The following is a 14,889-nucleotide window of genomic DNA, read 5'->3' as shown; positions in this document are numbered from 1 at the left end:
CTTGTTCCATACTCTTCCTATGCATTAGTACATTTAATCCTTACAAACTCACGTGAGAGAGATATAATTATTATCCTCATTTTACAGAGAGGTTAAGTGGTGAAACCATGGTTTAAACCCAGGCAGTCTGACTCCAATAATTCTCAATTGTAAAACTTTGGAACAGTTCAGAGTCAAGTTCATAAAAATTATGTCATAAAACTGGGGCATTAAGAAGGCTGACTGTTGAAAGGAAAGTAGGTATGCACAAAGCCTTTATTTGTATTTGACTCAAATTTGTGATGTGTTGGGTATTGGTAAGGCATGATTCGTCTTCTGGCTATACCACAGTTCAGTAAAAATTTGCACATAATACATTTGTATTTTTTATCATGTGATTCACCATTAAAAATATTACAATGTACCCCACACTGGATTTTTCAAAATGTGAATAAATTTAGACAACTTATATTTTCTTATTTTGGGTGATCCTTTTATTGTCATTTATGTAGATGTGTATTACTATGATAAAGTCTTTTTACTCCAGGTTTTTAGACATTTACATTTTTATCACAAGTTGTCTTGGTGTTTCTTTTTTATCAAATCTTTTAGCACAATCGCATGGAATTTAGTGGCTAGTTACTATGAACAGTTGCCTTATGGGAGATGCGGGTTGATGACGGCCCAGGAGCCATGGAGTGGGCACTACGTGGTAGAATCTCCTGTCTGGGTATCAGGTATGGTTCAGTTCCATCTCTCACTCCCTAAATTCTTCTCTAAGAGACAAAGCAGAAAAAAACTTAGAGAAGATTATATAAACTGTGTGTCTATGCGTGTTTTAAGTATAGATTTAAGTTTTAAGCAAGATTTGCCAGTGTTTTATAAGAATATTTTGGGTAACTAGACTACTCTCTGATTATTCTAAGACCAGGCTTTTAGAAAAGTGTAGGAGAGGAGGGGGAGAGAGAGGAAAAGGAGGAGCTGTGTAGTGATAGAGACACAAATAAATAATCATCTAAGGATATAATTACAAATGATGATAATTGCTAATAAGATTATGTATTTATAAACAGAGTAGAAGTCTTAAGATTAGCTTTGAAGACATTTTGTTCTCTTATATTAATAGAGTTTCAATTACAATCGTATGCTAGCAAAATCAAAGGGAGATGATTAAAAATACTGTATTATTGAATCATCAAATGAATAAGTAAATATGAAAGTTATGTGAAATATGGCTTTATATTGTCCCCTAAATCTGTGAAATGTGGGTTGTGAAAAGGTAAATTTCAAAATAGGTAACAATGTAAAGCTCAAAAGATTTTAAAAGTGAGCACGTACTGAAGATTTTATGTTACTCATATGATATGAAGGATCCTGGCAGATAGATGGTAGATGTTAGAAACAGTTGAAATGAAAAGTCAACATAGCACAAATTTTCGTAGTGTAAGGGAATTGGAGATGAATTGTCAATGGAGGCAAATTGGGTTTCCCACAACAGGGAAGAAATTAATTAAATTTCTACCAGACAAGACATAATTTACATAGCTCAGAGACAATGAACAGGGCTATAGATAATACATCCGTTTTTATTGAAACACAAAAGTTTTACTACAGTATCATTCATTAGTCACAAGGGAAATTGAGATTATGCAGGGATGGATGGCATAGTGTCACTTTTTCATGAGGAGATAATAACCATACTAATAGTGATTATATTTTAAACAAAGTAACAAAATCTATTGCTGAATAATGTTGAAACTTTTCTGCAGTTTTTTTGTAAAAGATTATAAACATTTATTACCATTTTGTTTTAAAATTCTAACAATCTTTCTAAAAAGCTAATTTCTTTAAAGGTAAAATGCTTTCAGAAGAAAATTATGAATTTGGAGTGAATTTGTTTTTATTTTAAACTTAAATTTGGTGGTTTTCCCTTTTAGTTGTGCTCTCCTAAGACAGATTTGTAATCATATTAATCATGTAATCATGATATTATTCTAAACTCCTTAAATTGTCCTCCAAAAAATATAAGAAAATTAAGGTTAGACTTGTATATTGGACTTGTATATTCTAATATTGAGAATTATATGAGAAAACTAAGGTTAGACTTGTATATTGGACTTGTATATTCTAATATTGAGAATTATATGAGAAAATTAAGGTTAGACTTGTATATCAGCGCCTTGAATGTTGAAATTGTTGGCCCCACATTATCTAGATGAACTAATGTACTCTTAATTTTGTGATTTTTCCAAGGGTTGGGACATGGTATATTGCTTAGTGCATTTTCAGGACGAGCTTAGGAGGTGACCAATAAATGTACATGTGGTGGAAATAAATATGTTTGAAACCATAAAGTTAGTTTCTGAAATTCATTATTAACTTTTTAAACCTTTTTTTGGTAGCTATTTTAGGATGGATTAAATAGTGATGAACCAAGTTTGGGGGGGGAATAACTATTTTATTCTTAAAAAAAAGACTGATCATATTCTTGAACTGACAGGTTCATTTATTTTTACCCATCATTCCAGGAATCTTCTTGCAATTGTACCATTTATCTAGATTAATTATTTAAAAATTTAAACATGAGGTTGACGGATATATTCCTGCAAAATAGAAAATAGCTTGTTTGGATGAATCAGACTCAAATTGATATACAGCTTTTTTTTTTTCCCAAAAGAAATACTATTATTACCATTTTTGTCTTATTTGGAACTTTCTGTTTTTCTATAGCTCATACCACTCAGTTTACTCAACCTGGCTGGTATTACCTGAAGACAGTTGGCCATTTAGAGAAAGGAGGAAGCTACGTAGCTCTGACTGATGGCTTAGGGAACCTCACCATCATCATTGAAACCATGGTAAACTTTTGTTGTTGCTATTGGATTAACTCACTTCTTTACTATTGGAAAAATAAAATATAAAACTGAATACTTTTGTTTTACATGTAAATACATAAGCATACAGACAGATGCCAAGATCTTATGGCTTTCATTTAAAAAATTTTAGCCATGAGTCGTAAAACATAGCACACAACTCACTGATTTGTACAAAATAGTTGGCTCTCATCTTTTCTCCACTTTGTTCCTGGCAGTTGGGATAAAATTAAGGTTACCTGTGTACCAATATTTGTGGAGACGACCTTCACGACCTTCCCTTGCCCTGATATGTATATGGAGGCTGTGGCTTTTTCCTTTTTCATCCTCAGGTTGTTTTGGGGAGACCTTAAGTCTGTTGAGAGCAACGAGCTTAAAATTCAAGTGATTGAGGGGCTTGAGTAGGAAGGGAATAGGTCTGACAGGTGGACAGAGGCATGGGAGGAGGTAGGGGCTTGAAAGCAGACATATCAAGGATTCAAGGGAACTGAATGAAAGAATGAAGGTGAAAAAACATGGAAGCAGAAGCAGAAGCCAGTGGAGAGAAGAAGAAGTCTGAGAGGTGCCAGTGTGGGGAGATCTCAAGCTTCCCAAAGAGGTCAATGAAGTTCCAACAAGAAGGAGGTAGACAGAATAGGAAGTGCATATAGTCAGCAGGGCTTTGTGAAGAAGGATTTCTAGCAACTAAGTTCCCATGGGAGAAGCAAGATCCAAAACAGAGAACAGAGTAGCCTTAAAAAAATGGTGTGTGTGTGTGTGTGTGTGTGTGTGTGTGTGTGTGTGTGTGTGTATCATATCAGGTTCTGAATGTCAGCCTACAGTTTGGCCAACTCCTGACCATAGACTCTTAAAAAACAAATTCTTTCAAATATCCTACTATCAGGTTTGAGCCAGGACAAACAGTAAATATTCCTGGCAGTATTGACCTTTTCAAACCAAAGGTGTCTATTAAGTGACTCACAACACAAACCAATAAGCCTTTTATGTCTTATCGTGGATGAAGAGGATCCTCAAAAGAGGGTGTAAAAAGATGCAGCCCTCCCAGAATCTACACTTCATCGTAGTCAAAAGGTTGAGAAGTGATCCTCCAAAGACCTAGAACCACTCCCAAGGATAGTCAAAAGAAAGACCCAGATAACCTCCCTACTCCCCACTCCCTGTCAGAGCTGGCGATAGTTGGTAAACTGGCTGCAAATAGGGTGCGAATCACATTTTTGTCTGGTTATATTCTTGGGGCCCCCAACTTGAAGTTGGCTGCCTGCATACACAAAACTGACAGCTCACACATCCCTAACAGGTGGGAAGTCAAGCCAGGTTCTCAGTACACAAAATGAGACAAATAGGAAAGCAATAGCTGACCCTGGGAAGGAAGGGATCTACAGGTAATGAGCACCCAAAACTAAATTTATACAGGAATCACAAACCAAACGAATGTTTTTCTTCTGCGAATCTGCATTTGGAGAGGAAGGGATGAGGAGGTTTTTGTTTGTTTGTTTGTTTGTTTAATTGTCTTCTCTCGATCGGGTACTTCAGGCAGAGATCCAGAAGAGCAGGCCTTGGTGAGAATTCTTAACCTTTCTGCCACCTTTTTGTCAGTGTCTCAGGATCTCATCTGCAGGCTCTTAGAGTGAGTAGGCATCTCATCTTCTTCACCAGAAACTGTCTTCAGAGATAAGGAAAATAGGGAGAGCACCTGTTGAGTGAGGGTCTTATGACCTGCTTCAGAGGAGAAAGGAGAAGGTCAGAGAGTAAACTTCCTGCTTCTACATTTTTCTCAAATTATTTCACTTTAAAATATTTGCGGGGAGTGTGTCTTGAACCCCATCATGGCTGTTATGACTAATGGTGTGGATTAGCATATGTGTACAAGTTTTTCTGTGAACGTGTTTTCAGTTCTCTTGGGTATGTATGTAGGAGTGGAATTGCTGGGTCACATGGTAACTCTGTCTTTAGGATTTTGAGGAACTACCAAATTGTTTTCCAAAGTTACTGCACCATTTTACATTGCCACCAGCAGTTTTATGAAACTTACAATTCTCCACATCCTCCCTAACAGTTCTTACTGTCCATGCCTTTGATTATAGCCATCCTAGTGAATGTGAAGTGCTATGTTATTGTAGTTCAATATGCATTTTCCTAGGGACTAATGATGTGGGGATCTTTTCATGTGCTTATTGGCTAGTAGTATATCTTCTTTGGAGAAATGTCTATTTAAACTCTGCCCATTTTTAAATTGGGATATTTGTGTTTTTATTATTGAGTCATAAGTGTTCTTTGTTCTATATAAAAATTCCTTATCAGAAATATAATTTGCAGATATTTTCTCCCTTTGTATGGGTTGTCTTTCATTTTCTTAATGGTACCCTTTGAATTAAAAAAAGTTTTAAATTGTGATGAAGCCCACTTTGTTTTCTCTTTTGTTTCTTGTGCTTTTGGTGTCATATCTAAGAAGCTATTGCCTAATTCAAGGTTCTGAAGATTTATATTTATGTATTCCTTTAAGAGTTTTAGAGTTTTAAATCTTAAATTTAGGTTTTTGGTCCATTTTCTTTCTTAACTGGGGTTATATGTGTGTCCAACTTGATTCTCTTGCATTTTAATATCCAGTTGTCCCTGCACTATTTTTTGAAAAGACTATTCCTTTTTCATTGAATTGTCTTGGCATCCTTGTTGAAAATCAATTGGCAATAAATTTGAGGGTTTATTTCTAGAACCTCAATTTTTTTCTGTTGACTTATATATCTGTCCTGACGTGAGCACCACACTGTCTTAGGTACTGTAGCTGTCTGATAAATTTTGAAGTGAGGAAATGTGAGTATTTCAACTTTGTCATATTTTTATTTTTTATTGACACAGGGTACAATTTGATGTTTTGATACATACATGTGGTATAATGGTCAAATCAGGGTATGCCCATCACCTCATGAATTTATCATTCCTTTGTGATGAAAGCATTCAAAAGCCTCTCTTCTAGCTGTTTTGTAATACACAAAACCTTACTGTTAACCGTCTTCACCCTAGTGTGCAAGAAAACACCAGAACTTACACCTCCTGTCCAATAGTTACTTTGTACCTGTTGACCGACCTCTTCCTGTCCTTCCCTTCCCAGCCCCACCCTAGTGTCTGGTAACCACTGTTCTACTCTCTGCATCTGTGATATCAACTTACACCTCCTGTCCAATAGTTACTTTGTACCCGTTGACCGACCTCTTCCTGTCCTTCCCTTCCCAGCCCCACCCCAGTGTCTGGTAACCACTGTTCTACTTTCTGCATCTGTGATATCAACTCTTCTTTTTTTTTAATTCTACATGTAAGTGTGATCATGAGGTATTTGTCTTATTGTGTCTGGCTTATTTCACTTAACATCATATCCTCCATATTCCTCCATTTGTTGCAAATATCAGGATTTCATTCTATGACTAATAGTACTCCATTGTGTATATATATATCACATTTTCTTTATTCATGCATTCATTGTTGAACACTCAGGTTGATTCCATATCTTGGCTATTGTAAATAGTGTTTTAATAAACATGGGAGTGCAGATACCTCTTTAACATATATATTTTATTTTGGGGGGATATATACACAGTAGTGGGATTACTGGATCATATGGTAGTTCTACTTTTAATTTTTTTTTTTTTTTTTGAGGCAGAATCTTACTCTGCACTTCCAGGCTGGAGTACAGTGGTGCAATCTTGGCTCACTGCAACCTCTGCCTCCTGGGTTCAAGTGATTCTTCTGCCTCAGCCTCCCAAGTGGCTGGGATTACAGGCGTCTGCCACCACACCTGGCTCATTTTTGTATTTTTAGTAGAGACGGGGTTTCACCGTGTTGGCCAGGCTGGTCTCAAACTCCTGACCTCAAGTGATCTGCCCGCCTCAGCCTCCCAAAATGCTGGGATTATGGGCGTGAGCCACCACGTGCCCCGCCTATTTTTAATTTTTTAGGAATCTCCACACTGTTTTTTATAGTGGCTGTACCAATTTACAACCCTAACAACATGAAGTAAGTATTTCTTTTTTTCCACATCCTCACCAACACTTGTTTTCTTTTGTTTTTTTGGTAATAGCCATTCTAAGTAGAGGGAAGTGATATCCCATTGTGGTTTTGATTTGCATTTCCCTGATGATTAGTGATGTTGAGTATTTTTTCATGTACCCATTGGCCATTTGTATGTCTTCTTCTGAGAAATGTCTATTACAGTCTTTTGCCCAATTTTAAACTGGGCTATTTTGTTGTCGTTGTTTAAGTTCTTTACATAGTCTAGATATTAACCCCTTGTCTCATGTATAATTTGCAAATATTTCCTCCCATTTTGTAGGCTGTTTTACTTTGTTTCTTTTGCTGTGCAAAAGCTTTTCAGTCTGATGTCATCCCCTTTGTCTATTTTTGCGTTGTCTGTGCTTTTGAGGTCTTATTTAAAAAATTCTTGCCCAGCTCATTGTCATAAAGCACTTTCCCTTTGTTTTTTTTCTAGTTTTATAGTTTCAGGTTTTATATTTAAGTATGTAATCAATTTTGAGTTGACTGTGTATATTGTGAGAGACAGGAGTCCAGTTTCGTTCTTCTGCATGGGGCTATCCATTTTTCCCAGTGCTGTTTATGGAAGAGACTGTCCTTTTTCCTAGCGTGTTCTTGGCACCTTTGTTGAAAATTAGTTGGTCATAGGGCATGAATTTATTTCTGGACTTTCTATTCTGTTCCATTGGTCTGTGTGCCTGCTTTTAGACAAAACCATGCTGTTTTATTAATCGTTACTATAGCCTTTTAGTATATGTTGAAGTCAGGTAGTGTGATGCCTTCAGCTTTGTTCTTTTTGCTCAGGGTTGCATTGACTGTTTGTGGTCTTTTGTGTTCCTATATAAATTTTATGGTTGTGTTTTCTATTTATGTGAAGAATGTCCTTGGCATTTTGATACAGATTGCATTAAATCTGTAGATTGCTTTGGGTAATATGGCTGTGTTAACAATATTAATTATTCACTATATTTTTGTGAGTTTTTTTTAGTGATTATTCTGGGGCTTACCATATACATCTTAACTTATTGGACTCACTTCAGATTTAAACTAACCGAATTACAGTAGATTATGCTGAATTCCCTTGTTGCTCTGTTCCCTTTCTCCTTTTGTTCTATTATTAGCACACATGTCACAACACTGCGTGCTGCGAACTCAATAGGACATTGTTACTTTATACATAAATTTATATGTTTTTAAACCAGTAACATGCTGTTTTGGTTACTATAGCCTTGTAGTATAATTTGAAGTTAGATAATGTGATACCTCCAGATTGTTCTTTTTGTTTAGGATTGCTTTGGCTGTTTGGACTCTTTTTTGGTTCCATATGAATTTTAGGATTGTTTTTTCTAATTCTGTGAAAGATGATGTTGGTATTTTGATAGGAATTACACTGAATATGTAGATTGCTTTGGGCATTGTGGTCTCATTTTCACAATATTGATTCTTCCAATCCATGAGCATGGGATGTATTTCCATGTGTTTGCATCATCTATTATTTCTTTCAGCCATGTTTTGTATAATAGTTCTCCTTTTAGAACTATTGGTTCTTGGTTAAGTATATTCTTATATATTTTTGTAGCTATTCTAAAAGAGATTGAGTTATTGGTTTGATTCTCAGTTTTGTCATTATTGGTATATAGCAGTGCTGCTGATTTATATACATTATTTGTGTACATTGATTTTGTAACTTGAAACTTTACTGAATTCATTTATCAGATCTAGCAGTCATGTATCAACAGAGCAGAATACAGAACCCAAAAATAAAGCCAAATACTTAAAACCAACTGATCTTTGACAAAGCATTCAAAAATATAAATTTGGGGAAAGGACATCCTATTTAATAAATGGTTCTGGGAAAATTGGATAGCAACATATAGAATAATGAAACTGCATCCCTACCTCTCACCTCACCGTATACAGAAATTAACTCAAGATGGATTAAAGGCTTCAATCTAAGACCTGAAACCATAAAAATTCTAGAAGAAAATCTAGGAAAAATTCTTCTGTACATTGGCCTAGGCAAATAATTTATAACTAAGACCCCAAAAGCAAATGCAACAAAACCAAAATAAATAAATGGGACCTAATTAAACTAAAAAGCTTCTGCAAAGCAAAGAATCATTGGAGTAAACAGACAACCCACAGAATGGGAGAAGACATTTACAAATTATGCATCTGACAAAAGACTAGCATCCAGAATCTATAAGGAACTCAAACCAGCAAGAAAAACACAAATCCCATTAAAAAGTGGCAGGTGACATGAATAGACATTTCTTAAAAGAAGATATGTCTATAGCCAGAAAAACAGTTAAAAAAAATGCTCAACATCACTAATCATCAGAGAAATGCAAATTAGAACCACAACGAGATACCACCTTACTCCAGCCAGAATGGCCATTAAGAAACATCAAAAAACAATAGATGTTGGCATACATGTGGTGAAAAGAGAATGCTTATCCACTGCTGGTGAGAATGAAGTTAGTACAACCTATATGGAAAACAATGTGGAGATTTATCAAAGAACTAAATTGATTGATCTGCCATTCATTCCTGCAATCCTACTACTGGATATCTACCCAAAAGAAAAGAAGTCACTGTATCAGAAAGTCACCTGCACACATATGTTTATGTAGCACAATTCACAATTGAAACATATGGAATCAACCTAAGTGCCCATCAACTGATGAGTGGATAAAGGAAATATATATATACCATATATATATGGTGTGTGTGTGTGTGTGTGTGTGTGTGTATATATATGGTGTGTGTGTATATATATATATATGGTGCGTGTATATATATATGGTGTATGTATATACATATACACACACACATCATGAAATACTCTTCAGCATAGAAAGAATGAAATAATGCCTATTTCTTTGAATGTCTCATTTTTTGTGTGTGTTGTTGGAAACTGGACCTTATATATAATATATGGTAGCAACTCGTATATAATATATGCTATCAACTCTGGGCATTGATCCTCTCCCCCTTGAGGCTTGTTGTTGTTTATTTATTTACTTAGTGATTTGCTGGAGTATTTTAGTTAACTCTGTTCCCTCCTTCTTCCCCTCCACACACTGTAAAGCCTGAAATGTTGCTCCTTGGAGAATGTGGTTTTGGGCATATCCACAGTCACCCTGGGATTTGTTTTTCCAGGACTCTGTCTGGTTCCTTGATCACACCTCACTGTAAGTTACACTAATTGCTGGTGGATTTCTGTATTGTTTTAAACAATGCCCTGGGGACTTAAATTGTTCCAAAGACTGATCCAATTAAATTCCAGCTCATTTTCAGGGGTGGTTTGAAGTTAGTGTTTTAGTTTTCTTCTGACCACAGGAGATTTTTTTTTTTAAACTGTCACTTTTTTTTTTCATTTCATCATAAATTTATTTTCAGGCAGTATGATAATCTATTAATACTCGGCATACTCTGAACTTACAGAATAAGTACCACTCTATACTTCCTCATTAATGACTATCATTTTACATGAGCTTCTTCTACAATCACAGTGAGAGAACAGATTGCTACATGTTTGCTAAATACATTCAGTAAGGCACTCAAATCCTAGACACGAACTAACCACAGAACGCTCTTCCCCGCTTTAATAAATTGAAACATGATCTCATTTCCTTCGTTTTCAATGCTTTTTATAGAAAGACACGCTTGTCTTGAACTTGTCTAAACAGAGGTTTATATAAACTAATCCATTATCATGTATAGTTGTAATCAAGGAAATGATTTCACATTGACGGTTTTTAGGTAGGGATAAGTAAAAGCACTGCAGCAGTTTCTGAGGGAATGTCTTCCCTGTGGTTCCTCATACTTAGTACAATGCCTGGAACGTAGCAGGGACTAAATACAGTGAACAAATGGGCAAACCTTTAATTCCCAGGGATCTGCTACATATTGCCTTGACTGGTAGATCATTTCTCCAGAAGAAAGGAAGAAACCAAAAAACAAAAATAATCTTTTTAAACCTCACAGGATTTTCTTAGAAAAAAGTTTTAATTGAAATTCTCTTTGTAAAATGTATTTAATAAAAAATCCAAAGCAAAAACCCTATCGTTTATTTACTTCAAAAGACAAATCATTTCAGTACTTCTTCCTTGAAATGCCTGCCATTTCTTCCTCTGGCCTCAGAAAAGGGCATCGGCTCCATGCTTTACAGTGTCAGGATAAAAATCCAGGAGGGAGAAATCTTGTTGTAATGGATAGCTGCTTTCATCTAACACAAAAAGGCTCTGAATCTTTGATACACAAGGTTCTGCGCTGACTGCCGACAAGGAGTGTAACAGGTCTGCCATGACCATCCCATAGGTGATCTCTGAGGAAGTAACTATCACTCTGTTGAGGCAGTCTGCAAAAATGTTGAGAAGAATCTTCTCTATCAGCTTTGAGTCTACACGGATGTAAACATCATGTCTTCCATCAACTACAGTCATTAAAGCTGGCCTATAGTATATTTTCTTCATAGTAAATGGCAAGCAGCTAAAACATTGTTTGTAGATCCTGTTCTTATCTGTTTCTAGTTCCAATCCATATTTTGCGCAGCCAGTATATATGATGTTGGGAAGAGAAGAAAAGAAATACTCTTCAGAGAACTGTGAGCATTTAGAGCTATCTTCTGAGCTGCCGTAATAGGAAATGACAGCTCTGAAATCTGGGCTTTAATTAGAACCACTCCTGAACATTTATCCTCTAGGTGGGTTGCTAAGTCTGATATCTTCCAAAAGGAAGGTGCACTTTTTTGAAATTTTGCTTTAAATGTAATTGCCCTTACATCATCATCAAACAAGCACTCACAGGATGACCAAGGCATTGTATGCGATTTTAGGTTTTCTAGTGTGTAATTGCGCTGAACAAAAAGATATTTAAATTCCCAAATATAACCTTTTTTCCTTTGCAGTTGAGGGTACCAGGCTGCTCCAGGACTCCATAATACAAGCACATAATGTTGATCTTGGGCCTGTTCCACTGTTAACATAACTTTTTCTGCTTCTGTCCTCTATAACTGTATACTGCCTCTGTCAGTATAGTGAAATCAACAACTCTTAGTATTGTGTGGACTAATACATCAGGCTGAAGGTGCTCCAATTCTATAAAGTCTATACTGTTCACCCTCTGAGGCTGCCTCGGAGGAAGATCTCTGAGGTAGGAATGTTTTGAGGACACCTGTGCCAGTAGGTCTTGAAGTACAACATCACTAACTACACTGGAATATTCTTCAGGCTGAATAGATGAATAACTCCCAAGATTTAATAACTGACTGCTAAATGTTGATTGTAGTACTGTCTCGCCAACCCATTGGTCCTCATGAATAACAACATCTGCGAGTAAAATTATATCTCCAAGAAACACTGTATATGCCCAAAATGCTGCAGTCCTCTACAGAAAAACCTTCTTAGTTTCTGATTGATCAATTACTGTAACTGTTGCTAAAGGCACTTTAGAGCCAGAATTTGGTCCGAATTTTATGTTTATTTCCTTCACATGACATGGAGATAGCACCATGACTAAACAATCATACTTCTGGCTTTTAGAATCACAGTTTTTTATTAATGACTTTTTTTAATACCCTTAAATTCAGACACATTCCTCTGATCCATTTCTACAACAGAATCTCCTGCATTAGAAATCAACTTCATTTTCTTAGCTACTTGAAGGACTCTAGATAGAGCTTCAGACTGGCCCACTTTATCTTCAGAGGTGCAGCTTCTTTTAATAGCACTTTTGTGGAAGGTGTTTAGTTGGGAACACAGTATTCCTGAGCTACACAACTCAATACGTATCTCATTTGGTGGCAGTTCATCTTCAGAACTGAAAAGTTCTTGAGATCCTGTATTTTCTTCAGGACCTTTGTCAGAGTTTATGTGAATGTGGCTATTTTCTGTTTTAGGAAAAACAGGACTAAAATGTTCAAGAGAATATGCTTGGTTTTGTCCACTTTCATATGCTTCTGTAAAATCATCAAGTTGAATGGAATTCTCTTCAGATATTCTTATCTTCCCGTAACTTGCCTTTGGTTCAGTCTCCATGTTTACATTCCCTTTATTTATAGGACTCCGCCCTTTATCTTTCTTTTGAGCTAAAAAAGCAACCTGGCTGGAGGTAATTATACAGAGAAATTCCGTATCAGTTGACATTTTAAGGTCTGAGACCTTCCTAACTGCTGCTTCAGACTTCAGACCTTGGCTTATCTACTGTGTTCAAGGAAAATAATCCCAAACACTGGTTTTGTATTTCATGATATTCTGTTGGCACACACTCTCTTTGTACCACTTCAGGCCCTATATTAATTTGTTTAGTACTACAAACCAAATCCAACATAGCTGCACATTTGTGGTCTAACTGAAACAAATTTGAGTGAAAGTTCTGACCACAGATATCTGACTGATGTTTAGGCTGTTCATCTATAATTTTATTTTCACTGAGAAGCTTTTGATACTTTTCAGTTAAATGCAGAACTATGCTTTCAAATCCACATATTTGCATATTAGAGCTCGTTACCTCACTCAGTCTAGAGGAGTGAATCTTCTGGGATTCTATATTCTGTGTTTCAGAAACAGAATGTACAAAGTAATCTTTCACATGAACATGTCTATTCATACAGTTTGCTAAGTAAGAAATGACCACTAAGATCTGGAGACCAATAGATTCTGGGACTTCATAGTTTTCAAGATTTTTGTGCTGTTTTTCATCCTTCAGATATAAAGAATGTTGACTGTATAAAAGCTGAATTTTTTTCCGGGGGTCAGCAACGGACATTAAAGAAACTGTGTGTTGTGATACTGTCATTTTTAGTGGAGCAACAGGATACTAGGCTGGGTGGTTCTCAACAGGATATTAGGCAGGGTTGTGGTTTAGCTTATGCCTATAGTGAAGCCACTGGTTTCTTTTTTCTTTTCACCAAAACCTCCATTATTTTTTAGAACAACATTAGTCTTAAACCTCTCTATGCTCTGTGTCAAATATCAATTCCTTTAAGAAAAGGTTTGAAGCTATTTCATGCCTTGCCTCTCCCCCTAGGTAAATCTCTAATCTCTAGTAATGTCACCTTTCTTATTGTTGAAGTGTATGTTTTCTCTTAACCTGATTTTTTATTAGTCTGGCTAGAAGTTTTTCAACTGTATTGATCTTCTCGAAGAATCAGCTTTTGGTTTTATTATTTTCTTGTGGTTTTTAAATTTGTTTTTGTTTAATTCTTCTTTGCTCATTATTATTTTCTTTGCCTATTTTGGTTTTTTCTTTATTTTTATTTTTACTTTTTAAAAAAATTTTATTTCCACAGTTTTTTGGGGAACAAGTGGTATTTGGTTACATAAGTTCTTTAGTGGTGATTTGTGAGATTTTGGTTCACCCATCCCCGAGCAGTATACATTGAACCCAATTTGTAATCTTTTAAAATTTGCTCCTATTTTTCTAGTATCTCAAGACAGAAGCTGAACTCTCAAATCCTTTCTTGGTTTCTAATCTAGGTATTTAGTGCTGTAAATGTCCTCCTAAGTATTGCTTTAGTGGCATACCACAAATTGTGATATGTTGTGTTTTCATTTTCATAAAGCTGAAAATTCTAATTTCTCTTTTTATTTTTCCTTTGATCTATTGATTATTTAGAAATTTGATAGTTTGTAAATATTTTTGACTTTTCCAGAAGGTTTTCAGTTATTCATTTCTGATTTAATTCTATAGTGGTTAAAAAAGTACTTTGTGTGACTTGAATCTTCCTGTATTTATGAGGACTTGCTTTATGGATCAGAGTATGGTGTAGTTTGGTCAGTGTTCCATGTGCGCTTGAAAAGAATGTGCATCCTGCTGTTGCTAGATGGAGGCATTTATAGATGGCATGTTGTTTGGTAGTGTTGTTCAAATCTCTTATATCCTTGCTGATTGTCCATCTAGTTGTACTATCAATTACTAAGAGATGGATATTGAAATCTCTGATTATGAAAGTAATTTTTTAATGGTCTGCAAAGCCTGAAATAGAACTGTGTACTATAAGTATTCTGTG

At 35.7% G+C, this 14,889-nt stretch overlaps 1 protein-coding gene, 1 long non-coding RNA gene and 1 pseudogene across 13 annotated transcripts in view, besides 1 other annotated feature; 2 read left to right on the top strand and 1 right to left on the bottom strand.

Annotated features, from left to right (window-relative positions):
* Window positions 1-14,889, top strand: part of GALC (galactosylceramidase) — a 60,654-nt gene that overhangs the window by 27,447 nt on the left and 18,318 nt on the right. For all 12 annotated transcript variants that reach the window (NR_187582.1, NM_001424076.1, NM_001201402.2 and 9 more), the window contains 2 exons: window positions 592-716; window positions 2,710-2,837. Coding sequence is in view for 11 of the 12 variants with exons in the window: in NM_001424076.1 (NP_001411005.1) it covers window positions 592-716; window positions 2,710-2,837 (253 nt within the window). In the remaining variant the exon portion in view is untranslated. The remainder of the gene's footprint in view (window positions 1-591; window positions 717-2,709; window positions 2,838-14,889) is intronic.
* Window positions 723-2,333, top strand: LOC124903355 (uncharacterized). Its single transcript, XR_007064295.1, has 2 exons — window positions 723-2,017; window positions 2,078-2,333. It is a non-coding gene; the product is annotated as an uncharacterized LOC124903355 (long non-coding RNA).
* On the bottom strand, window positions 10,818-13,695 carry SHLD2P2 (shieldin complex subunit 2 pseudogene 2; annotated as a pseudogene).
* Window positions 10,862-11,031: an enhancer, noted in NCBI's record as "experimental_38563 CRE fragment used in MPRA reporter constructs". NCBI's record gives its function as "activates a minimal promoter by MPRAs in K562 erythroleukemia cells, with activity observed for both the introgressed and non-introgressed 14:88421619 variant alleles {active_cell/tissue: K562}" and the evidence as "EXISTENCE:reporter gene assay evidence [ECO:0000049][PMID:34662402]".

Source organism: Homo sapiens, chromosome 14, assembly GCF_000001405.40.
Source record: "Homo sapiens chromosome 14, GRCh38.p14 Primary Assembly".
Classification (NCBI taxonomy): Eukaryota; Metazoa; Chordata; class Mammalia; order Primates; family Hominidae; genus Homo; species Homo sapiens.
The sequence above is the reverse complement of the archived record's forward strand: the minus strand, read 5'-3'. Positions and strand labels throughout refer to the sequence as shown.